Source organism: Homo sapiens, chromosome 6 (genome assembly GCF_000001405.40).
Source record: "Homo sapiens chromosome 6, GRCh38.p14 Primary Assembly".
NCBI classification, from domain to species: Eukaryota; Metazoa; Chordata; class Mammalia; order Primates; family Hominidae; genus Homo; species Homo sapiens.
Window position 1 is genome coordinate 49,341,680 of NC_000006.12, and position 27,809 is coordinate 49,369,488.

At 37.2% G+C, this 27,809-nt stretch overlaps 2 pseudogenes, besides 1 other annotated feature; both read right to left on the reverse strand.

The window, feature by feature from the left end:
* Positions 413-1,325: an enhancer, noted in NCBI's record as "OCT4-NANOG hESC enhancer chr6:49309752-49310664 (GRCh37/hg19 assembly coordinates)". NCBI's record gives its function as "activates a minimal SCP1, AML or CMV promoter by ChIP-STARR-seq in naive H9 embryonic stem cells {active_cell/tissue: H9 hESC(naive)}" and the evidence as "EXISTENCE:reporter gene assay evidence [ECO:0000049][PMID:30033119]".
* Positions 3,123-3,182, reverse strand: RNU7-65P (RNA, U7 small nuclear 65 pseudogene; annotated as a pseudogene).
* On the reverse strand, positions 16,512-18,725 carry EEF1A1P42 (eukaryotic translation elongation factor 1 alpha 1 pseudogene 42; annotated as a pseudogene).

Here is a 27,809-nt window from a genome sequence, read left to right on the forward strand (position 1 = left end):
ATGCACCTGCTTAATAATAAATATCATCGCTTCAAGGTATTTAATCTCTAAGTAAACAAGAGTGCAAATTATTTTAACTGATGAACATTTAAGTCCATGACCGATTGTAATATCCCATTCAAGTCCCTCTTTTATTTTTTTAGAAATGCTACGTATATTTTCACTATTAGGCAAGGTGATATAGTTTGGCTGTGTCCCACCCAAATCTCACCTTGAACCGTAATAATCCCTATGTGTCAAGGGTGGGGCCAGGTGGAGATAGTTGAACTATGGGAGTTGTTTCCCCCATTCTGTTCTTGTGGTAGTGAATAAGTGTCATGAGATCCGATGGTTTTACAAATGGGAGTTCCCCTGCACAAGCTCTCTTGCCTGGTGCCATGTAAAACAAGCCTCATTCGCCTTCTGCCATGATTGTGAGACATCCTTAGCCATGTGGAACTGTGAGTCCATTAAACCTCTTTTTCATTATAAATTACCCAGTCTCAGGTATGTCTTTATTCACAGCATGAGAGCAGACAAACACACAAGGTATTGGATATAAATAAGTTTTACCCTAAAGGAGTTTATAATCTGTTTGGGAGACATGACCTACAGATGAAAATTCAGAAAGCAAGAGCAAAATTAAAATTAAAGAAATAGGAAAGGCAGTATTGTAAAATAAGTGGTGGAGAAAGAGTAAAAAGCTAAAAAGGGTAGAAGAGTTCTAGGTGGAATTTTCCTTTAATAAAAAGCAGCCCCAAACTATTTCTTCTCTAACAGAAAGCAGCCTGAAGAGTCAGGCATAAATATGCAAACTAGAAGCTTTTATATGTAAATGCTGGCAGCTGTACCTGAAAGCCAAGTACATTCAATATGGCGTTTCCCACTCTCTTCTCCTTTTCACCACGTGTGCCCGTGTCATGGCGGCCTCCAGGTAATACCACACTGTGCATGCATCCTGGCAGAGCTCCAGGCAGTGGCACATTTGCATAATAAAAGACTAAGATGGGAAGGCCAGGCTTTTCCCAGGCTATGTAAATGGCATACCTGGTCAAACCAATCCCCCCACCCGGCCCTAGTAAATCAATCACCACCTCCTCAAGCCTCTGTACAAAATCGACTGCATTCCATCCCAAACACACACATTTGAGTTCAAAGAAGAGATCCAACTGAGCTGGAGTGTCACAGGGACACCTGTGTTATGCCAGCATTTGTGCTATATGCTGGGAACACAAAAGAATGAGACATATCCTTATCTGCTAGGTGCTTGAAGTCTAGTTAATGAACTAGAAAATGTGACCAATAAACCATATGAGCTGAATCTAAAAGTATACGTGTAATTTAAATATGTATACAAAAGAGAGAGGCACCTGGCAAACATAAAGAATGGGGAAGGAGAGTAGTGTTTTTGAACAACTGTGGGCTCAGCACTTGACATATCTCACTTTCATCTCCACAATACTGCAAAGTCATTACTACTATTATCCCCTTTGTCTAATGAGAAGACAAGTTAAAACAAGTGAAAGAACTTGCCACAAATTATTCAGCTTATAAAGTGGCAGAGGTAAGATCATAATTTGAGCCTATCTGGCTACAAATCCCCTCTCACAGGTATAAATATTAAGAAGGGAGTCCTTCTCCACACGTTTTATGTGAGCAGAAAGTTTGTAGTCACCTCTCTTGGGTACAGGTCTGTGATTATAAAATCCCAAATCTCCTATATTACTTGTGTATTCATTTCTTTTAATTATTGTATAACAAATTACCATAAATTTAACATTTTAAAATACATTACTTGTTTATTTTATATACATTTTATTTATTTATATATTTTTTGAGATGGAGTCTTACATTGCTGGAGTGCAGTGGTGCGATATCAGCTCACTGCAACCTCCGCCTCCTGGATTCAAGTGATTCTCTTGCCTCGGCCTCCCAGGTACCTGGGATTATAGGCGGATGCCACAAGGGCCAGCTAATTTTTTAATATTTTTGTAGAGACAGGGTTTCACCACATTGCCCAGGCTGGTCTTGAACTCCTGACCTCAAGTGATCCTCTTGCCTCAGCCTCCCAAAGTGCTGGGATTACAGGCATGAGCCACTGTGCCTGGCCCAACACTTTAAAATACTCCATTTATGTGAGTCAGGAGTCTGGGAACATAACTGGGTTCTTTGTTGAGAGTCTCACTGGCTGCAATCAATGTGTCAACCAGGCTACAATCTCATTTGAAATTAAGGGTACTCTTCCAAGTTCGTGTGGTTGTTGGCAGAATTTAATTTCTTGCAATTGTAGCACTGAGGCCCTCAGCTCCTAGAAGCTGCCTTTGGTTCCCTGCCACCTGGCATTCTCCATGGCAGTTCACATCTTAGCTGCTTGTTTCTTCAAGGTCAGCAGGAGAGTTTGTCACTCAGGGAAGGCCCAGTCATCTTGTCAAGGGTTTTCACCTGATCTCTCCGGATAACCTCCCTTTTGATACTTCTAAACCACTGGTTTGGGGACCTTAACTATATATGCAAAATTTCTTTACCTTTGCAATATAACATAACCTAATCAAGTGGCTGACATGTCATCTCATTTGCCCTATTCTACTGATTAGCTGAAAGTCAAGGGCCTTGTTCACATTTAGGAGAAGGGGGTTAAACAACATTATAAATACTAAAAGGCAAGGATAATGGGAGCTCACCTTAGGGTCTGTCTGCCACACCTTCCTTCACAACTTTGTGCATGCTATCCTTCAGTGTTTCTCTGCAGAGTAAATACAGGAAGAAGAGCAATAAAGGATCATTCTGGATGTATAACTCCTGCTTGTCAACCTTTCACTAGGAAGTAGGTATGAGAGAAGGAAATAGGAAGCATTTACCAAGGGCAGATATCAGGTAACAACTATGTTTTAAGTCCTATACTTGAAACTTGGGCACTGAGCAGATCCCAGACATCATCTCATGAAGCTCTTACCACACAAGTACTGTAGCATATTAATTGAGCATCATTCGAAGCACCAGAGATTAGAATGCCACTAGACATAATGCTATGTGGATTCAAAAGCAGTAATGGTGAAAACAGTTTGAACTCCCTACGTCTACTAGAAGAGATAGCAAACGAGTAGCTGTTCTTTAGAAAACTAGTTTTATTATTAATGTTTTATGGGTTTTCCAGTGAAGACCAGAGAACTTGCTAGACAAATTCTAAAAGAGCTGTAACACTGGATAACTTGTTTTGATGGAGGCATGTGGGAGAGAACGATTGATTGATTTGGAAAGAAAATTCACATACTGGATGATCAAGTCATATGAAGCTTATATGTTTTAAATGATGTTTGAGTCTCTAGTGTGACTAATGAGGAGCCCTAGAGGATATTTTCCACCATTCACTGGCTCAGTGCATGTCTGTCACCACAGCTTAAGTGAATCCAAACAAACCGATGAGCCACTATATCATAATCATGGAAGCCCATTTCATGGCAACTCACAGACTTCATTCTAAAACGTGCAGCAAGATCCATCCAAGATTAAGGCTGGCTACATCCCAAGGCTGGCTACATCCAAAGATCAAGCAAAATTGAGTCAACAATGATTATGTGACATGTTTAACACAGGCCTGATCATCATTACTTTATACCCAAGACACTCAGTTTGCTCTATATTCATATCATTTATTTGCTCTGATAAATATCTCTAATACAGACAGCAGAGTGGTTGTTGACTTTCACTTTCAACATCTAAGAGTAAGTTCACCCTCCGAGGATAGGTCTGGTTGGCTTTCATCAGGATCAGATGTATTACTTAGGAAGCCACACATACCAAGGAATTCCAAGTACTCCACAAAGAGAATGCAAGCGGGAGGAATTAGTGCAATAACTAAACTACCTACTGAACTGGAGCACACCCAGAAACTTCAATTTCTCTCTCTAGTTACATATCTACTGTTGTAATAATGTTTTACACCAAAGAAAGCTTAATCTCTAACCCAGATGTTTTTACGCCACAAACATTAATTTTCAAATGTGCAGAGAATATTAGACTCAAATACCCTACAGGCTTTGTTAAACCTAATTTAAAACCCTAAAATTACAACTTATTCAGAACTTACCCCTTCAAGCCTTCCAGATATACCTAATACCCTGTCCAGTGGAATCCGCTTACTGAAGAATTAATAGGCTTATGAGACTTTGAAATAAAGTTTGCCATAGGGAGTCACACTGCTGACTTAGTTATTATGAAAAAAATGCTGTCTTTATATATTTCACTATTCCTCAAATACTCTTCTTGTAAATCACACTGAGCATCACTGGGTTTTATTAGGGAATGAGGATGTATTGCTAACCTCCAGGCATCATAGAAAATAACCACCTTTTCCCACCTAAATTCCTTCAATAAATCAACACAAAATTTTAAAATCTGAAAGCCATGCATTTTGTATTATGCCACAATCTTAGGCCAATTTTTTCGTGTGAGTTTTCTCTCAAAATCCTCTCTGGTACCTGAAGTTTTGTTATCATAGACTCATAAAGCTTTTATCATGGTTAAAATGCAAATCTTTCCAGAAGAAACCACCTTGTTCTAATACTTCATTTTCTCAATGTTTTGTAGGAACAGAGACACGTTTCTGAAGGTAGGTGACAGGAGACAGCAGAAGGATAAAGGGTACAGAATGAGAAGACGATTTATACCAGAGTTGTCACTTAAGTATATTTAGAGGTGGACTTTACAAATCCAAAGAAATTCATATTCATCATAATCATTGATACTTAAATTACAGTAAATGTATCATTGAGTTCATATTGTTTGAAATTAGCACTGAGGATGAACTAGAATCTAATGCAAATATACCCATGTATCAAGTGAATACCTAAAATCAAGTCAATTTGACTTCTCTTTATCTCAAATGTTTAAAAAAATCTGAGAAAAAAATATTCCAGAGAGATAAATTGAAATATTAGAGATAGAGTTGCTGATTCATTAATTCACCAAGGTAATGTAACTAGGGGTTCACTAGAGCCATTCCTTGGAACATATGCACATCATATCAAAACCACAAATCAATTTTATTTTTTAAAAATCCATCAAAACTGCCATTTGTAGCAAGTGTTTTGAGCTAGAGGTATAAAAAAGTACTCCACATAGAGAATATTTATAATACTATATAAAATATTAAAACAATCTACCTTTTTGTCATGGATGAGTTTATTTAAAAATAGGGAATAACCTCAGAGGTAAGAGCAAAGAAAAATTGATTCCAGAGAACTATGCAGCACATTAAAGCAGGCATTTTCCCTAGGTTGGCATTTCAGAAGCCCCTGAATACAGGAGATAAATAAAATCTAGAGACAAGCAAGATGGAAGATCAAAGTGAGCACCTCCACACAAAAGAAGGCTCCCTAAAGGGAAGGGCAATACCTTCAAAAGGTCTATTAGTTAAAAAAATGTTCCATAGGCCGCGCACAGTGGCTCACACCTGCAATCCCAGCACTTTGGGAGGCCGAGGTGGGAGGATCATGAGGTCAGGAGATTGAGACCATCCTGGCTAACTTGGTGAAACCCCGTCTGTATTAAAAATACAAAAAATTTGCCAGGCGTGGTGGCACGCGCCTGTAGTCCCAGCTACTCGGGAGGCTGAGGCAGGAGAATGGTGTGAACCTGGGAGGCAGAACTTGCAGTGAGCCTAGATCGCGCCACTGCACTCCAGCCTGGGGTGACAGAGTGAGACTCCATCTCAAAAAAAAAAAAAAAAAAAAAAAAAAAAAGTTCCATAGAAGAAGATAAATATGGTTGCCTGTCTCGAACTTCGCTCTAAGCAGAGCTAGAAATATAAGAAGTTCTGCTGGCTAGTCCTAATTCTGGGTCAAAGGAGGAAGCACTCTACAAACTATCTCCTCCATGGAACATAGCTGGGGCCCAAGGCAGCCCAAAACATGGAAGTGGCAACAGAGAGAGTTCTAGAAACCCTCAAGTTCTCTCCTGAAGACTCGGAAAGGTTTCCTGACACTCAGAGAACGTGGAGGGAAATTTCCCCATTTGTCTCTATTTTTTTTTTCTTTTCTCTCATGCCCTAGCCTTCAGGTGATCTCACAGTAGTGGTATAAACGAGGAATATTGGCACCAGCAAGGTCCAAAAGGTACCTAAAATTTGAGGCAAGGGAAACTTTGTTTCCAATAGAGAAGTGGTGGTCTAAAGAGGATAGGTGCTTATTTTCTTTCTCAGTCTTCCTGTCACTTGACCCCAGACATGAGCACAGTTGCAGAAAATGAGCTGCAGAGAAGAATTCCTAAAACTTGAGCTTCAGGCCAGAGGACCAAAATTAGGAGTACCAGAAAATCCTTTAGGACACTAAGAAATGAAGGGAACTTTCTTAACCCGAGAAAGGGAATCTATTTTTAAAAAGAAAAGGTAATTACACTAAAATCACAAAAAATCATGGAGTGTTGAAAGTATCATATTTTAAATTTAAAAAGCTAGGTATGCCACCATCATCACTTGTCTTTCTTAAGATTAATAGCAGGTACATTGGTATTTGCCTTATTATTGTAACTATTATTATTGCTACTTAGTCTGTACATTGGTTGTGGAGACTTTTATGCTTAATATAAATTTTTTTCCAAAAGAGTGACAAGTATTATAAAGCAAACAAACAAAAATGTGTATTCATTACTGTATATATAAAGTCCATGTTGTAATTAGAGAAATACACTACATAGAAAATTTTAAAACAAGATTTCTAGCTCTACTGTTACTATGTGTCTTGCATGAGTCATTTAACACTTCAGACCATTTATTTATTTATTTATTTATTTATTTATTTATTTTTGAGATGGAGTCTCGCTCTGTCGCCCAGGCTGGAGTGCAGTGGCGTGATCTTGGCCCACTGTAACCTCCACCTCCCAGGTTCAAGCAATTCTCCTGTCTCAGCCTCCCAAGTAGGTGGGATTACAGGCACCCAACACTAATTCTTGTGTTTTTAGTAGAGATGGAGTTTCACCATGTTGGTCAGGCCGGTGTCGAACTCCTGACCTCAGATGATCCACTCACCTCAGCCTCCCAAATTGCTGGGATTACCGACGTGAGCCACCAGGCCCAGCCCGTTGATTTATTTTCTAAAAAATTTACTGAGTCAGACTCAGTATCCTTTAAGACATGTTCACACACGCTATGATTCTTTTAAACTAACTGATGACCAGTCTCTAGGTTTTCAATCTAACTTGAATATTTCTGTGTAATTATGGTACATTTTTTCATTCTGACAAGGAATGACAAAATGAAAATTATATAAAATTCAAATTTCAGTGTCCGGAGATAAAGTTTTATTTAACTAAGCAGTACTCATTGGTTTATGTATTCTCTATGGCTGCCGAGTTGAGTACGTGAAACAAAGACCTTATCTGGTACTCTCATTACTTTTCACTGCTATTCAATTCACAAATCACAGTGACATAGTTATAACTTGACAGCTCTTCAAATAACATGTATATCTCCATATTGCAACTTTATTTTTTATTATCACTGCATACCCATTCTGTGAAAACAAGAAAAGTGGGCTTTGCACTTAAAGGCAGAATCAAGTGTGGATATTGTTATCTTAGTTAACAAGAATTGTATTCGTTATATGATAACAATATAGCTGTGCTAAAAGATTATAATGTATGTTGATATTACCAGATTCAGCATTTATCACAATATTGATCGCTACAGAAAAGGAAATATGTTCAGAGAAAGTAATCTTGTTTAGGACTATTAGCCTTTCTGCAAGAACAGTTGTTCAAAGAGTTGAGGACTTTAGGAGAAAAATCAAATAATTTTTTTAAAGAAAAATGATTTAGAGTGCTTTTCATTGGTTGTTGACAAATTGAGGGATATTACTAACACAGTTGGCCTGCTGTATCCATGGGTTCTACATCAATGAATTCAACTAACGGCCATTGAAAATATTTGGAAAGAACGATAGAAAAATAGCAGGCTGGGCACGGTGGCTCACACCTGTAATCCCAGCACTTTAGGAGGCCAAAGTGGGTGGGTCACCTGAGGTCAAGAGTTTGAGACCAGCCTGCCCAACATGGCAAAACCCAGTCTGTACTAAAAATACAAAAAATTAGCCAGGCATGGTGGCAGTGCCTGTAATCCCAGCTACTCAGGAGACTGAGGCAGGAGAATCTCATGAACCTGGGAGGTGGAGGTTGCAGTAAGCCGATATCATGCCATTGCACTCCAGCCTGGGCGACGAGAGTGAAACTCCTTCTCAAAAAAAAAAAAAAAAAAGAAAGAAAAGAAAAGAAAAGAAAAGAAAAAAATAAAGCAATACGTAGGTTGAGGGAGGGGGTTCCACCCTGAAACCAGTCTCACAGAAAACCACAGCACAGCTATCTTCCATGGCTCTTAGCTACACTGAGGGCTGAGGTAGATGACAGTGTGCATTTGATGTGAGAGTCAAGAGCCCAGCACAGGGGTGTGATGGGGACCCATACTGCATTCCTGCCTGTCTTGGACATAAAGCTAGCACAGCCCACTTACCTCCAGCAGACATCATCATATTTCACCAGGAGCTCCTGAGCCACTCCCATCAGGATTAGTTCCTGTGCTCATCACTGGAATATTCATGGGCAAGCCAGATGATCCAGGCCTGCCCAGCTGTGTCACCAGAATGCACCACACAGTAAACAAAGATCTAGTACATACCCATCTGCTTTTGCCATAGCTGGCTCTTACCTGTTAGTGTCATCTACTGACCTGTAAGTGTGACTGCAAAATCTGATATAAAACTATAACAGAAGCGCACAGGGCAATAGAAGCAAAGCCAAAAGACTCTACCCAACATGCTCTACAGTCACACCAGCAAGCGAGGGGAAAAACCCCCATCCCAATGAAAGTAAATTCAAAAATAAGAATCACAACCTCTGAAAGATAAGCAGGAACCAGCCAAGAACTCCAGCAACATGAAGAAACAGAATGTTGTGACACACCCCCAAAAGAACCACACTAACTCCCTAGCAATGGATTCTAACCAAAATGAAACATTTTAAATGACAGGCATAGAATTCAAAACATAGATTATAAGGAAGCTCAATGACATCCAAGGGAAAGTTGAAAACCAACATAAACCAGAAAAACAATTCTTGGGTTGTTTTTCACACATATCTTTAAAAACATATCAACAACAGAGAGAACTTCTGGAAATAAAAAGTTCATGGACACAATTTCAAAATGCAATTGAAAGCTTTAACAAGAGACTAGACCAAGCAGAAGAAATAATTTAAGACCTTGAAGACCAATCTTTTGAATAAACCCAGTCAGAAAAGATAAAGGAAAAAGAATTTTTAAAAATGACAAAGCTTTTAAGAAACACAACATTTTATAAGGCAACCAAACTTGTGATTCATAGCCATTCCTGAAGGAGAAAAAGAAAAAGTAAGAAGTTTAGAAAATAATTACTTAAGAAAATAATTCAGGAAAATTTCCTGGATCTTGCTAAAGATGTAGATATGCAGATATACAAAATCCAGAGAATATCTTGGAGATACTACACAAGATGAACATTACCAAGTTATATACTCACCAGGCTATCTAAGGTTAACGTGAAAGAGCAAATCCTAAAAGTAGCCAGAGAAAAACACCAAATCAGCTATAAAAGAAATCCCATCAGACTAATATTAGAGTTTTCAGCAGAAACTTTTGGAGCCAGAAGAGATTGAAGCCCTATTTTTACCGGCTCAAAGAAAAGAAAAAGCCAGCCAATAGTATATCCTATCAAAATAAGCTTCATAGATGAAGGAGAAAAAAGTATTTCTCAGGGAAGGAGATGCTAAGAGAATTCAACACCACTATACCAGTCCTACAAGAAATGCTCAAAGGAGTTTTAACACGGAAATGAAAGGAAAATACTCACCAATATCAAAGCACACATAATAGAAAGCTCACAGATTCTATAGGTAATTACAATTGAGATTCCAAGGCAAGTAGCTAACAAACTATGACAAGAACAAAACCCCACATATCAACATTAACCTTGAATATAAATGGCTTAAATTCTCCACTTAAAAGACTTAGACTAGCAAATTGGATAAAACATACGATCCCACCATCTGTTACCTACAGGAGATCCACCTTATAGCTAAGGACACTTACAGGCTCAAAGTAAAGAGGTGGAAAAAGATATATCATGTAAATGGAAAACAAAAGTGAGTAGAAATAGCCATTCTCATATCAGATATGAGAATCTCATATCTGATATCAGATCTCATATCTTATATCTGATATGAGAATCTCATATCTGATATCAGATCTCATATCTGATATGAGAAACAGACTTTAAACCGCAACTGTAAAATAAAGACAAGGGAATTATATAACAATAAAGGCTTCAATAAAACAAAAAATTATAACTACGTAAAATATATGCACCCAACATTGAAGCACCCAGATTCTTACCATAAATACTTCTAGACCTAGGAAAACATATTACCAGGAATGCAATAATAGTAGGGGACTTCAACATCCCACTGACACCACTAGACATATCATCAAAGCAGAAAATCAACAAAGAAACTCTGGACTGAAACTAGACTGTAGGCCCAATATACCTAATAGACATTTACAGAACATTCTACCCAACAACTACAGAAAATACATTCTTCTGATTTGATCATGGAACATTCTCCAAAATCAACCATATGCTTGACCTTATATAAAGCAAGTCTCAATAAATTCAAAAACTTGAAAGTATATCAAATACTTTTTTAGAACACAATGGAATAAAATTAGAAATGAATACCAAGAGGAATTCTCAGAACTACACAAGTGCACGGAAACTAAGCAACTTACTCTTGAACAACTTTTGGATAAACAATAAAATGAAAGTCGAATTCAAAATTTTTTTGAAATGAAGGAAAATAGAGGCACAATGTGCCAAATCCTAAGGGATACAGCAAAAGCAACGCTAAGAGGAAAGTTTATAGCACAAAATGCCTACATCAAGCAGGTGGAAAGATTTCAAATTAACAACACAATGTCATACCTCAAGGAACTGAAAAAACAAGAACATACCTAACCTAAAGCTAGCAGAAAAAAAGAAATAACAAAGATCAGAGCAGAAATAAATGACATTGTGACCAAAAAAAAAAAAAAAGGATCAATGAAATGAAAAGCTGATTTTTTGAAAGGTTAAACAAAACTGACAGTGCTACTTAGATTAACCAAGAAAAAAAAAAGAGACGATTCAAATAAGCACAGTCAGACTTGACAAAGATGATGTTACAACTGATACCATAGAAATATGAAAGGTCATTGGTGATTACTATGAACACCTTTATGCACACAAATTAGAAAACCTGGAGGAAATGAGTGAATTTCTGGAACAATATATTATCCCCATATTGAACCAGTATGAAATAGAAATCCTGAAAAGACCAGTAATGAATTATGAAATCAAATCAGTAATAAAAAAAACTTCCAAAAAACTAAACTCCAGGACAATATGAATTCACAGCCAAATTTTACCAGATGTGCAAAGAAGAGCTAATACCAATCTTACTTAAACTATTTCCAAAAATCAAGAAGGGACTCTTTTCTAACTCATTCTATAAATACAGTATCACCCTGATACCAAAATCAAGCAAGGGAACACACACACACAAAAAATTACAGCCCAATATCCCTGATGAAATATGCAAAAATAATTAACAAAATATTGACAAACAAAATTTAACAGCACATCAAAAAGATAACTTCTTATGATCAAGTGGGCTTTATTCTAGAGATGCAATGATGGTTCAACATATGCAAATCAATAAATGTGATTCATCACATAAACAGAAACTAAGAACAAAAACCATATAATCATCCCAGTGGATCCAGAAAAAGCATTTAATAAAACCAACATCCCTTCATGATAAAAAAAATCTCAACAAACAAGACATCAGAGAAACATAACTCAAAATAATAACAACCATATATGACAGTCTTACAGCCTCCATTATACAGAATAAAGAAAAGTTGAAAATGTTTTGCCTAAGAACTGGAACAAGACAAGGATGTCCACCATCACCACTACTATTCAATATAACACTGGAAGTCCTAGTCAGAGCAATCAGGCAAGAGAAAAAAAAAAAGCATCCAAAATGAAAAAGAAATAAAATTATCTATTTGCTGACAACGTGATCATACATCTAGGAAAAAAAAAAAAACTAAAGCTTTCTCCAAAAGACTCCTAGATTTGATAAACAACTTCAGGAAAGTTTCAGGATACAAAATTAATGTACAGAAGTCAGTAGTATTGCTATACAACAGTAACATTGTAGCTGAGAACCAAATCAAAAATACAATCCCATTTCTAATAGCCACAAAAAATGTGAGAATACTTTTAACCAAAAAGTGAATGATCTCTGCAGGGAGAACTATAAAATATTGATGAAAGAAATGGTAGATAACACAACAAATGGAGAAACATCCCATGCAATGGATTAGAAGAATCAATATCATTAATAGGACCATGCCACCCAAAGCATTCTAGAGATTCAAAGCAATTTTTATCAAAATACCAACAACATTCTTTATAGAATTAGAAAAAAAATCCTAAAATTCATATGGAACAATAACAACAAAAAGCCTGAATAGCCAAGGCAATCCTAAGCAGAAAGAACAAATCCAGAGGCATCACACTGCCTGATGTCAAATTATCCTACAAGGCTATAGTAACTAAAACAGCATGGTACTGGCAGAAAAGTAGACACATAGATCAATGGAACAAAGTAGAGAAACCATAAATAAAACAAAATACTTGCAAACAACTGATCTTCAACAAAAGTGACAAAAATAAACAATGGAGGAAAGACACTGGATTCCATAAATGGTGCTTGGAAAATTGGTTGGTCAAGTGCAGAAGAATGAAACTGGACCCCTATCTCTCACCATATACAAAATTATCTCAAGATGGATAAAAGACTTAAATGTAACACCTGAAACTATAAAACTTCTGGACAAAACTCTAGGAAAAACTCTTCTGGACATTAGCCTAGGCAAAGAATTTATAATGAAGGACCCAGAAGCAAAGGCAACAACAACAACAAAAATACAAATGGGACTTAATTAAACTAAAAAGCTTTCATGCTGCAAAAGAAATAATCAACAGAGTGAACCAACAACATATAGAACAGGAGAAAATACATGCAAATTATGCCTCCAGCAAAGGACTAATATCCAGTATCTATAAGGAACTCAAACAACTCAACAAGAAAAAGCAAACAACCAAACTAAAAACTAGGCAAAAGACATGAACAGGCATTTCTCAAAAGAAGAAATACAAGTGGCCAAGAAACACATGCAAAAAGGTTCAACATCACTAATCATCAGGAAAATGCAAGTTAAAACCACTCTGAGATATCTTACACCAGTCAAAACGTTCATTAAAAAAAGAAGTAAAACACACACACACGTGCACAACAGATGACAAGGATGAGAAGAAAAAGGAATTCCACTGTTGGTGGGAATGTAAATTAGTTCAGCCTCTAGGGAAAACAACATGTAGATATCTGAAATAACTACGAATGGAACTACATTCAATCCAGCAATCCTACTATGGAGTGTCTACCCAAAGAAAAAGAAATTATTATATAAAAAAGACCCCTGCACTAGTATGTTTATCTCAGCACTATTCACAGTAGCAAAGCAATAAAACTAACGTGTGTCCATCCACAGTGGACTGGACAAAGAAAATGTTGTATATATACACCATGGAATACTATGCAACCATTAAAAAATAATAGTCATGTCCTTTGCAGCAACAAAGGAGAAAGCCATTCTCCCACGTGAATAACTCAGAAAAAGAAAATCAAATATCTCATATTCTCACTTGTAAGCAGGAGCTAAAGAGTGGGAATATATGAACATAGAGATGGAAATAATAGACACTGGAGACACCAAAAGGTTGGGGGGGCGGGATAGGAGGGGGTTAAGAGTTTAAAAGTTACCTATCAAGTACAATAGTCATTATTTGGGTGATGGATACACTAGAAACACAAACCTCACCCTTATGCTATATATCTATGTAACAAACCTGCAAAACACCCCCTGAATCCCAAAGTAATTTTTTAAGGTAACAATACAATAATAAAAAATAACACAAATAAACAATTTAGTATAGAATATATTTAGAAACTTTAAAATAAACTAAAAAATAACACAGATAAAAATTATTATGGAATATATTTAGAAACTTTAACACGGCATTTACATTGTGTTAGGTATTATAAGTAATCTAGAGATGATTTAAAGTATATGGAAGGTGGTTCAGTGAAATGGCTTATACCTGTAATCCCAGCACTTTGGGAGGCCAAAGGGAGGATCATTTGAGATCTGGAATTTGAGACCAGCCTGGGCAAGACTCCATCTCTACAAAAAAAAAATTAAAAATTAGCCAGGCTGGTATACATACCTGTAGTTCCATCTACTTGAGAGGCTGGGGTGAGAGGATTGCTTTTGCCCATGAGTTTGAGGTTGCAGTAAGCTATGATTATACCACTTCACTCCAGCCTGGGTAACAGAGTGAGACTCTATCTCTAAAAAATAATAATAAAGTAAAATAAAATAAAAAATAAAACAAAGTATACAGGAAGATTTCCATTGGTTATATACAAATACTATACCATTGTTTATAGGGGACTTCAGCATCCTTGAATTTTGATATCCAAGGGGATCCTGTGATCAAACCCCTGCAGGCACCAAGGGACCACTCTATCACTCAGTTGTTTAAAGTGTCAATGCTGAATGTGAATCAACTGAAAAATTAAGTTCACTGAATAAGCTGAGTAGAAAAACACCAAGTAAGAACATTATAAAAGAATTTAAGAAGAACATTAATTTAGCACAAATTAAAGGGGAATCTGATAATATTTCCAAATTTATAGTGGTAAAATATGTTTAGAGCTAAAAGTGTTCACTTGGACAAATTAAAAAGTTATAAAAATGTAAGATGTTTAAAGCCAATGGTTATTCATTGAATTCAACAGCAAGTACATTCCAGAAAACATTTGGCTTTTTCATGTAGTGTCAACAGTGAACTTCATCACTTTTGAGAACTTGACAATCACCAGTTTCCAAGAATTTTTGTCAGAAATAGAAGTTAAATATCCTAACATGCCCTAACATACAACATCTTGGTGGCTTAAAATTTTATTGCATATTTAGTTCAAGCAGAGAATGAATTTCTTTATAAGTGAAAAGAAATCCCTTCAACTACTATTATTGAACACTGAATGGCTTTGGAATTTAGTTTTCACTACAGATTTATTTTTCTTAATGAATTAAACCTAAAATTTCAAGCCAAAACAACATGTATGCAAAACTTATGGCAAAGTTATTTCAATGACAACTAAATGTTGTTGGAATCACGTGTAATGTTAAGCTACTTTGTATACTTACGATGCTATCAGATTTTAAAAAGTGAGAAATCCATTCTCATACAAAGTTGTAGTGGGTATATTTTACAAGATCAAACTACAGTTCCAGCAGTGTCTTGGGAACCTCTATATAAATGCAAAGGAAATATCTGTATTTCAGAATCCACTTGACTGAGCAATTGCAGACCTTCCACTTAACCTTCGATTAGAAATGATAAATCTGCAATAAAATGACATGCTAAATGGTAAATATCAAGAGAAAAATCTAATAGAAATATATAACTGCCTCTCAAGCATTGAATATGCTCAGTTAAAATCATATGCTCATAGATTTATATCAGTATTTGGCAGTAACTATTTGTATAAAAAGACATTTTCAAAGATGAAATACACCAACTCTTATTACATATTATCATGAACAGATGAATATTTTTAATCAATTTTGAAATATGAACCACTAATTTTGAATATCAAATAAGTGAAATAATATGTGCCCCCCAAAATAAAAAAAAAATTCACTTTTTCTTATTCAATTACATTACAAAATATGTACTCAGTTATATTATTTTTTAATTTCATCAATAAAAATGGACATTTGTTTTCTCTCTTGTTACATTAGTTATTTAATATCCTTAGATTATCTAATATTCTTGATTTAGTCTCCTGGCCTACAAAACTTTTAATATTACTATCTGACTCTTTTTTTTCTGATTAAACTTAGTTTTAACAGGTCTCAAAATTCTGTGACAGGTTTTTGGTTGTTTTCATTAAAAAGTACTGATTTTAGGGTGTCTGTAATCTCAGCTAATCGGGAGACTGAGGCAAGAGAATTGCTTGAACCCTGGAGGCGAGGTTGCAGTGAGCCGAGATCATGCCACTGCCTGGGAGACTGTGTGAGACTCTGTCTCCAAAATAAAATAAAATAAAATAAAAGCACTGATTTTAAAAACTAATAACTTAAAACTACCACACATTAAAAAAAAAAATGGATCCGCAAAACATTCTCCTTTCCTTCTGAAGCTTTTCTGATGCATTGTTTTCATTAACCAATCTTTTACTGTTAAACTTAAATGACCAATTGAAACAAAAAGTTCTGAGGTCATTCTTTTACTGATTAAGATTGGGGTGGTAGGTATTAGGGATAATATTCATTTAGCCTTCTGAGGCTTCTGGGTAGACTTGGTGACTTTGCCAGCTTCAGAAGCTTTCTTGTCCACTGCTTTGATGACACCAGTAGTAACTGTCTATCTCATATCATGAACAGCAAAACGACCCAGAAGAGAATTAGTCAGAGAGGCTGTCAACACACATGGGCTTGTCAGGAACCATATCAACAATGGCAGCATCATCAGATTTCAAGAATTTAGGGCCATCTTCCAGCTTATTACCAGAATAGTATTCAATCTTTTCCTTCAGCTCAGCAGACGTGCAAACAATGTGAGCTGTGTGGCAATCCAGTACAGGGACATAGCCACCAGTGATTTGGTCTGGCTTGTTCAGGATAATCACCTGAGCAGTGAATCCAGCTGCTTCCATTTGCAGGTCATTTTTGCTGCCACCAGCAACATTGTCACAACAAATATCTTTGACAGACACATTTTTGACATTGAAGCCCATATTGTCCCCAGAAAAGGCTTCACTCAAAAGATTCATGTTGCATTTTAGCAGACTTTACTTCAGTTGTAACATTGACTGGAGCAAAGATGACCACCATGCTGGGCTTGAGAACATGTCTCCACTAGGCCCACAGGGACAATATCAATACAACCAATTTTGTAGACATCTTGGAGAGGCAGATAGAAGGGCTTGTTAGTTGGAAGAGTTGGTCGTCCAGAGCTTGAGGCAGTGTAGTTCCACTGGTACTGACATCTTTCAGGTGGCTCTCCATCCCTTGAAACAAGACGTGTGAGCACTTGGTTCTCATATTAGTCAGGGTTCTCTAGATGGACAGGACTAATAGAATAGATGTTTATGTGGTTCGGCTGTGTCCTCACCCAAATCTCATCTTGAATTCTCACATGTTGTGGGTGGGACCTGGTGGGAGGTGGTTGAATCATGGGGGTGGGTCTTTCCCGTGCTGTTCTCATGATGGTGAGTATGTCTCATGAGATCTGATGGTTTTATAAGGGGGAGTTTTCCTGCACAAGCTCTCTTTCTTTGCCTGCTGCCATCAGTGTAAGATGTGGCTTGCTCCTCCTTGCCTTCCACCATGATTGTAAGGCCTCCCAGTCACTTGGAACTATAAATCCATTAAAACTCTTTCTTTTGTAAATTTCCCAGTCTTGGGTATGTCTTTACCAGCGGTGTGAAGATGGACTAATATAGATGTATATGAAAGGGAGTTTATTAAGGAGTATTGACTCACACAATCACAGGGTGAAGTTCCACAAAATGCCATCTGCAAGCTGAGGAGCAAGGAAGCCAATTCAAGTCCCAAAACCTCAAAAGTAGGAAAGCTAACAGTGCAGCCTTCAGTCTGTGACTGAAGGCCCAGGAGCCCCTGCAAACCACTGGTGTAGGTACAAGATTCCAAAAGCTAAAGAACTTGGAGTCTGATGTTAGAGGACAGGAAGCATCAATTATGGGAGAAAGATGGAGGCCAGAAGACTTAGCCAGTCTAGTCCTTTCACGTTTCTCTGCCTGCTTTTATTCTAGCCACACTGGCAGCTGATTAGATGGTGCCCACCCAGATTAAGGGTGGGTCTGCTTCTCCCAGTCCCTTGATTCAAATGTTAATCTCTTCTAGCAACACCCTTAGGGACACACAATACATTGCATCCTTCAGTCCAATCAAGTTGACACTCAATATTAACCATCGCAGTTCCAGCACGTTATTAACATTCCAACCAGAAATTAGCACAAATGCTACTATGTCAAGTTTGTAGCCAGTCTTCTTAATATAAGTGCTGACTTCCTTAATGACCTCCTCATATCTCTCCTGGCTATAGGGTGGCTCAGCGAAATCCATTTTATTAAAGCCAACAATTGTTTCACACCCACAGTGTAACCAAGAAGGGCATGATCACAGGTTGGCTCATCCTTGGAGACAGCAGCTTTGAATTTGCCTGAGATCCTCCTGTAATCATGTTTTTGATAAAGTCTCTGTTTCTTGGGGTGTCAATGACAGTGACATAGTAGTTGCTGATCTCAAAATTCCACAAGGAGATTTCAATGGTGATATCGCATTCATGCTCAGCTTTCAGTTTATCTAAGACCCAGACACCTTTAAGGGAACACTTTTGCACCTCAGCAGCCTCCTTCTAAAATTTTTAAATGGTTCTTTTGTTGATACAATCACATTTGGGGATCAGATGGCCAGTAGTCATGGACTTTCCCAGATCTATGTGTCCAATAACAATAATGCTGTTAAGAATCTCTTCCTTTGCATTTTGGCTTTTAGGGGTGGTTTTAGCAGCATGTGTTCTGGAGGCAAACATGTTGTGGAAAAGCTACTATCTAATTCTTCATAGAAAAAGTTTGCCAACTTTTAAACTGAATTATAAAGTTATCAATTCCCAACATATCATGCATAGAATTTACTTGTAACCCCTTTTTCACATGTTTTATCAACTCATCTTGCTATGTTCTCCTCACCAGTGAACTATAACATGATATCATCCATGTAATTGATAAACATGATCCTCAGAAGTATGGCAAAATGATTACATTCCTTAGACAGTACAATTAGCAGAGGTGGAAAGTTGCTATAACCCTAAGGCAGGATGAAGAAAGCATACTGCTGTACTAATAAAGTAAAAGTAAAATGTTTATTAACTCAGAGAAAAAATTCACATGAAGTCACATAGACACCATCAGCTATATTTACTTTGTTTTCCAAATATACCACATGTGAAAGAGCATCTGCAATTGTAGCCATCTCCTGATAAAGTGTATTTTAATCTACTGTCCTACAAGATTTTCCTATCTTCTGTACAGGTCAAATTGTCAATTTAAGTGGGTATATAAAAATATTATTTTTACATGCATCTTTTAAGACGTTGATGTTGCCACTAATCTCTCTGGTTCCCTCCAGGGAACAGATATTGACTTTGATGTACTTTTTGAGTAAAAATAGAATATTCTAGGAGCTGGCCATTTTTTTACTGTAAGAGCCTTTACTAGTTCAAGAGGCAATGTGGTGATGCTGTTGCTGAATATATTTATTCCTGATATGAAATCAGCAGCTAAGTAAATAACCACAAAAACTTTTTTCCAGATCTACCAGGCCCACTGTAAAATGTAGATTGGGTTCAAAACTCCATTTACCTGAATAATTTAATTTCCTCACTTTTCTTTGATTGGTAGTCCTCAATGGCATTCTGAAACTGTTCATCAGCTTTCTATTTTCAGAAAAAAATGATACATATATACATATATGTATAAAAGCCTGGGTCTATCACTTTACCCAGTCCAATATTACTTTGGCTACAGGTTTGCAGAAGGACAAGAGAAATATTTGAAATATGTATATGTATATGTATATGTATATGTATATGTATATGTATATGTAATAGGTCTTCCCCAAGTGTTCCTGGCTACTCTCCCATTAGAGAACTTTGTAGACTCCTCATCTTTTTCAGTCCTAGATATTGCATGATCGATTAACTATCTTCAAAGTTTGGTTAAATTCAAACCATTCTGATTTCTTGGGTCATATCTTATCTTGGTAACCATGCTCACTTAGTCAGTAGTAATTAAGTTAACTTCTTTATTGAAATCAGGAGTTCATTTTATTGGCAGCTTCTCCTACCTTTTTCTTCTTTTTAAGTCTAGAAAAATACAGCCACTACAGAATTATTTAAGAAAGGTAGTGCCTTCCTTGTCAATTTATCTCTTAGTGTTTTGATGAAAAAAAAAAAAAAAACCTGTGGGCCTTTTCTTTCTAAATATTTAGATTACTTTCTCTACCTTATACATAATAATTTCTAGACTCCCAAGCTTCATTCAATACAGGCTCCCATTTAGTCTAGTTTTAGTCAACAATCCAAGCTTCTCTCAGCTACTCAAGCAGAGGGTATAACATTTTTTAAGAGCTCCAAATTAATACATTTAGCCATGTTTTCCTCTCCCTGGTAAAGTACCCTCAGTGTCTATTGCACCACAAGCTTTCCAGATTTGGGCTGATATAAGTTTTTAAAGTTTTACAAAGTTTTTAATGTGTAACCCTTTCCTCTGAGGTTTAAATTTACAATTGTAGGGCATTCTGACTCTAGTTATAGAAGAGGACAGTGAGAGGTGACAGGGATCAGAAATGAGAATTTGCATTTGCCTGCAAGATAATAAGCTCATGAATTTAGTGCAGAGTCTTTTGAAACCAGTGAAACCAGGTCATGAAACCAATGAAGAGGGATCGATTCTATTGATATGAAAAGTTCTGGGAAATTTTGGAGTTTGAGGAACTGAGATATACGTGAAGCCTCCAAAATGCCGTATTCCATATCATAATATTCTATTTTTTCCAAATAAATCCTAACTTTCAGAAGAAACACACTGAGACTGTAAACCTGGTCTATGTTAAAATTCCAGAAATAAAAAAATCAGATTCTAAGCCTGAGAAATATCTACATAAACCCAGTGGCTATAAGAAATTATTTTAGGAATAGTCATAGAAAATCTCTGGTGCCTTGAGTATAGAATTTAAAGCTCTGATTCTATCATTTACACTCCAATAGAGGTTTCTGGAACTATCTCACTCTATAGTCCTTGTATAACTTATGCCCATTGTGATATGCTAGAGCAACCATCATTTGATCTGTTCTCAATATTTTAATGATTGGAGTCATGGATTAAAAATGTTTCCTGTCTAATGTTAACCTGCTCCTCACTGCCTTCTTATCTAACTAGATCAAATAATAAATCTCTTATCACAAACTTGAGGTCTGTTGCTTGTAATGTCTTTTGGTATCAAGTACTTTATTGACTCACTGTAACAGAAAACGCTCTGGCTATTTTAAACAACAAAGAGTTTTGTACCAGGAATAGGGTGTTTTCAAAATTATTGGTAGAATTAAAGAACTTCTCTATGGTGTACTTCCAGAAATACTTCCAGGACCATACTGTAAAACCAGCCCACCAAGGGGACTCCTATTTCCACCACAATCAGGCATCCTTTGTTCCAGCTTCTGAATTCAAGATCCCACAATTTTGCTATAACTGAAGGTCAGAAAACTACCCCCACAATCATTTATTCAATGAATATTTATGAAATCCCTACTAGGAAGAGCCTCTACTGTGGGGGTTGCTTGGTAGACAGAAAGCAGAAGAAGATATGAGATTATGGTATGAAAGGCACCCAAAAAGAATGCGAGAGTACTAAGTTAGGACAGAAAGGGGTTAGAGAAACACTGAATACAAACTTTATAAAATGTTTGATTTTGTTAAGGAAAAACTTCTTTTCTGAGTACCTGGTTTACATGGCAGAAAATTGACAAACCATTAAATGAGAATGCTTATAATTCTTAGATAAATATAATCCCATCAATTTATTTCATAGTGACATTTCATTTTTTCATAAAGTTGCTAGTAGAATTTTTTGATCAGACAATATGGCAAATAGAAAAAAAACAAAACATTAGTTTTTATTTTGTTTTGCTTCTTCACAAGCATTTACTCATGCTCCCATTTTTTTTTTCACTAAGTAGAAAATGCATGTATACACAAACATTGCACCGAGAAGCTGGAATTCTCAAACCAAAGCAAAGAATTAATATAACTGAATAAGTCTAGAAAAACAAACACGGCAATCAGAAAGAATTAAAAACCCACTCAACTTATCCAACAAGGTTAGCACCAAGGGCAAGGGCATTTTTTTACACTGCATATCTGTCTGTGTGTGTTAATTATCTCAATGGCTATTTCAATCAATTATTTCCTTTTGACAATGAAGATTACCCCCAGCAAAACGTCTTAGTTGACAAGTTACTTGGATGACCTTAATTACAACATCTATTGGACCATTAATGAATTTAAAAGATATTAAGGGAGGGAGAAACCAAGTGGTAAATTTTATTTAATTTTCTGGGTTAATTTTAAGTTCCCTGGAAAACGTGATTTTCTAGGTTATTTCTTTTTGTTCAAAACTTTACAGTGTAAAAATGCTGTTTTCAAATATTAATCTTTCTCTTCAGCTTAATACTTTGCCATTCAATATCCTGAAATGACTAAAAAAAAGTCTGGGTGAATTTAGATTGCTTATTAAGCACAATGTAAATCAAAATTCAACTAAAATGTCTTTTTTCTACCTTTATCCCCTGCTACAGTTTTTAGTGTGCTACCATTCTTCTGTACTTTTAAATAACACTTGGCTTAACAATAACAAAACAACAACAAATACATTCTAATGCATTAGTTAAAAAAAAAGAAAAACTGTCCAACTGTCCACATGGTAATCTACTGCTAAATATCCATCTAGACACATCAAAAACTTTTCTACTTGATTAATAGAAATGAGCCAATTTTAAAATTAGATAATTTCAGTTACAACATTTTGCTGATTTTTTTTGTAAATAAGAAATCAATAACACACTCATTTTTTAATTTGAGAATGTCATAAGCTTTCATTTGACTTTTTTACATTTTTGTCTGACAGAAGGAGTTGATGGTGGCAGTAAACAAATATTGAACTTCTTTTCAAATTGTTCTATTCCTAGATGACTCTTTTTCAATGAAATTTAGCCATCTGGGAAGTTTGTTCTTTGTAACTTTCCTCTGTAGGAAGAGCATGCCTGTGAAATTCAGCAAGAAATTAAGTCATAAGAAGAGCAAGTAATTCCACTGCTAATGAAGCCAGAGATATCACTTTTGTGACTGAAATACAGGGGAATTAAAATTGCTCTCACCAAGCTGAATTTTATCAGTTATAAAAAATTGTAATTTTAAAAAAATAGCCATGCAACATATATGGTAAAGATAATTTCTCTGGTTTAAAGAATGATTTTATTTGCATGACATTAATCAAAAGGTGAGTTTTCAAGGTTATCTAATAGGGAATCATTCTTAACATAATAATTTGTTCATTTTAAATCACTATTACACATTTGGCAGTTCTGTTAAGGAGATAATTTGGCAACCTCTTCATTGAAAGTGGCTCCTCTCATAAAAATGGGCACCTAGAGAGATATTTACACATACTCTAACTCTGCCTATATGCAAAAAATTACTGTAGAAAACTGCATCACCAACTTTTTGGTGTTTAAGTAGACAATGATGTAAGTCCATAAAATCTAGCAATGGTGGGCATAGTTTGAGGAAGAAAGGTAAAATAGTAGTGATGTACTTAGAAGTGAAAATCCATTTTGTCAGAACCACTATTGCCTACCTAATATCTATACTCCCTTTCATTTTTACAGACTTTATACATACTCTCAATATGCCAACTAAAATCAACATTTATCAGCCTCTCTTGCATCTATGTGGCCATGTGTATTAGTCTGTTTTCACACTACTATAAAGATACTACCTGGGACTGGGTAACTTATTTAAAAAAGAGGTTTAGCTGACTAACTGACACAGTTCTGCATGGCTAGGGAAGCCTCAGGAAACTTACAGTCATAGCAGAAGGTGAAGGGGAACCAAGTCATGTCTTAAATGGCAGCAGGCACAAGAGAGAGCAGAGGGGAAGCACCAGGCACTTATCAAACAACCAGATCTCATGAAAATTCACTCACTATCACAAGAACAGCATGGAGGGAATCACCCCATGATCCAATCCCCTCCCACCAGGTCCCTACCTCAACATGTGGGGATTACAATTCCAGATGAGATTTGGGTGGGGAAACAGAGCCAAGCCAAATTATTCCACCCTGACCCTCCAAAATCTCATGTTATTTTCACATATCAAAACCAATCATGCCTTCCCAGCAGTCCCCCAAGTCTTAACTCATTCCAGCACCTTAACTGAAAAGTCCAAGTCCAAAGTCTCACGTAAGACAAGTCAAGTCCCTTCCACCTATAAGCCTGTAAAATAAAAAACAAGTCATTTACTTTGAAGATACAATGGGGGTACAGGCATTGGGTAAATGTTCCCATTCTAAATGGGAGAAATGGGACAAAACAAAAGGTTTACCAGCCCCATGCAAGTCCAAAACCTAGCAAAGCAGTCATTAAATCTTAAAGCTCTGAAATAACCTCTTTTGAGTCCATATCTCACATGCAGGGAATGCTGATGCAAAAGGTGGGCTCCCATGGCCTTGAGCAGCTTCGCCTATGTGGCTTTTCAGGATACAGCCCCTAAAGCCGCTTTCACAGGCTGGCGTTGAATGCCTGTGGCTTTTCCAGGGCACACTGCAAACTGTCAGTGAACCTACCATTCTGGGGTCTGGAGGATGGTGGCCCTCTTCTCACAGCTTCACTTGGCTGTGCCCCAGTAAGTACTCTGCATAGGGTCTCCAACCCCACATTTCCCTTCTGCACTGCCCTGGCAGAGGTTCTCCGTGAGGGACCTCTGCAGCAGACTTCTGCCTGGACATCCAGGCATTTCCATACCTCCTCTGAAATCTAGGTGGAGGCTCCCAAAGCTCAACTTTTGTCTTCTATGCACTCGCGGGCCCAACACCATGTGGAAGCTACCAAGCCTTTGGGCTTGCACCTTATGAAGTGATAGCTTGAGCTGTACTGTGTCACCTTTTAGCCATGGCTTGAGCTGGAGGGCCTGGAACACAGGACACCAAGTCCTGAGGCTCACAGAGCAGTGAGGCCCTGTGCCTGGCCCACAAAAACATTTTTTCCTCCTAGGCCTCCAGGCCTGTGATGGGAGGGGCTGCTGTGAAGATTTCTGACATGCCTTGGAGACATTTTCCCCATTGTCTTGGCTATTAACATTTGGTTCATCACTTATGCAAATTTCTATAGCCAACTTGAATTTCTCTTCAGAAAATGGGGTTTTTCTTTTCTACCACATGGCCAGACTGCAAATTTTCCAAACTTTTATATTCTGCTTCCCATTTAAACGTAAGTTCCTCATCTCCATCTGAGACCACCTCAGCCTGGATTTCATTGTCCATAACAATATCAGCATTTTGGTCAAAACCATTCAACAAATCTCTAGGAAGTTCCAAACTTTCCTACATCTTCCTGTCTTCTTCTGAGACCTCCAAACTGTTCCAGCCTCTGCCTGTTACCCAGTTCCAGAGTAACTTCCACATTTTCATGTTATCTTTATAGCAGTACCCCACTTTGGTACCAATTCTCTGTATTAGTCAATTTCCACACTGCTATAAAGATACTACCTGAGCCTGGGTAATTTATAAAGAAGAGGCTTTATTGACTTACAGTTCTGCATGGCTGAGGAGGCCACAGGAAACTTACAATTATGGCAGAAGGCAAAGGGGAAGCAAGACATATCTTACATGGCAACAGGCAAGAAAGAGAGCTCAGGGGACACACCAGACACTTACCAAACAACCAGATCTCGTGAAAACTCACTGACTATCATGAGAACAACATGAGAGAAACCACCCCCATGACCCAATCCCCTCCCACCATGTCCCTCCCTTGACACTTGGGGGTTACAATTCAGATTACAATTCCAGATGAGATATGGGTAGGGACACAGTGCCAAACCATATCACCATGTGACACATTGTTGCTCAATGAGATATAAGCCATATTCTACTCAGGGTTCCTGGAAACGTTTTGTATTACTAAAACAAAATTTTCATGCTCTTTCTTGTTTCTTCAGTTTTCTTTATGCCTGCAATGTGGTCTGGAATTGTAGCAACTATCATAAAATCATCAGAATAAAAGCCACATACCAAGAGGATAAAGCTATAGGAAGACTAAAATATGGATGTTCTCATTGGACTGCCATCTTAGACCTGGACTACTTGCCTCAAAAAATTCTTACATTATGCAAAAATAAATTCCTTTTTGTTTAATCCACTGTAGCTAGAATTTTGTAACATCATGCCAAATGATAAGTGATAACCATCCCTCATGTAACTCAAAAAACTATAACAAACACCTTGAATGTGGACAACTACTCATGCAGGCATCCATCATGCATCTTACATCCTGTTGGTGGAAGAAAAATCTTTATATAAAAATATTATGAACTTCTGAAATAGTACTATGCTCTGATTTTTGTGGAAAATCTTATAAAATCCTTTATCTAATAAATAATGTAGCCTGCCCCTTCCTCTGGGAGCTCTGTGCTAAACACCCATAATGGTAAGCTAGATAAAGAAAATGTGCTAAACATACAGCATGGAATACTATGCAGCCATAAAAAAGAATGATGGAACTGGAGGCCACTTCCTCAGCAAACTAACACAGGAACAGACAACTAAATACTGCTTGCTCTCATTTATAAGTGGGAACAAAATGATGAGAACACATGGGCACATTGAGGGAAACAACACGCACTACGGCCTTTCAAAATGTGGAGGGTGGGGCCGGGCGTGGTGGCTCATGCCTGTAATCCCAGCACTTTGGGAGGCCGAGGCAGGCGGATCATGAGGTCAGGAGATAGAGACCATCCTGGCTTACACAGTGAAACCCCATCTCTACTAAAAAAATACAAAAAATTAGCCAGGCATGGTGGCGGGTGCCTGTAGTCCCAGCTACTCAGGAGACTGAGGAAGGAGAATGGCGTGAACCCAGGAGGTGGGGCTTACAGTGAGCCAAGATCACACCACTGCACTCCAGCCTGGGCAACAGCGCAAGACTCCATATCAAAAAAAAAAAAAAAAAAAAAAAAATCTGGAGGGTGGGAGGAGGGAGAGGATCAGGAAAAATAACTCATGGCTACTAGGCTTAATACCTGGGTGATAAAATAATCTGTACAACAAACCCCCATGACACAAGTTTACCTGTGTAACAAACCTGCATCTCTGAACTTAAAAGTTAAATAAATAAATACAATAGTATAAGTTAATACAGAGTGAGAATCCCTCCCATGAGCTCCCTAAGGTGCACCATGTGCAATGAACATTTCCAGGACTTTATGCCTGGAATGTGATCTGGAACTGTAGCAACCATCATAAAACACCCTCATACAGAAAATTTTTGGCTCCAATACAGAGTCAAAGAAAGAAAGGAACATCCTTAAAAAGCATCTTAAATAGTGGTAGCTGACATTCCTTTCACTCTCTTTCATAAAATCCTTCTTCAGTTAATTTTTTAATCTTTCTTCATACACATGTGACAATTGTCTGGATCTCAGAAGCTCTGAGAGTCTGTCCTAACACTAATAATGCAAATGCTTGTCTGAAGTCCTGGGAATGTTCATCACGGATGATGACAGCTAAAAGGTAAATAGCTCAACTTTCCGAGTAGCCAGATGGATATTTATGATCTCTAATTCTCAGTCAGATTGGAATCAACATTTCTTACTGCATTGGCGACAACCTCCCTTAAGTCATGTTTAAAACTTCTCTTGTTTTTTTTGCCAACTCTGGAAAACAAGTCCTTACAAATTATGTTACAATTCATAAATAAAAGGCTATTCATTTATA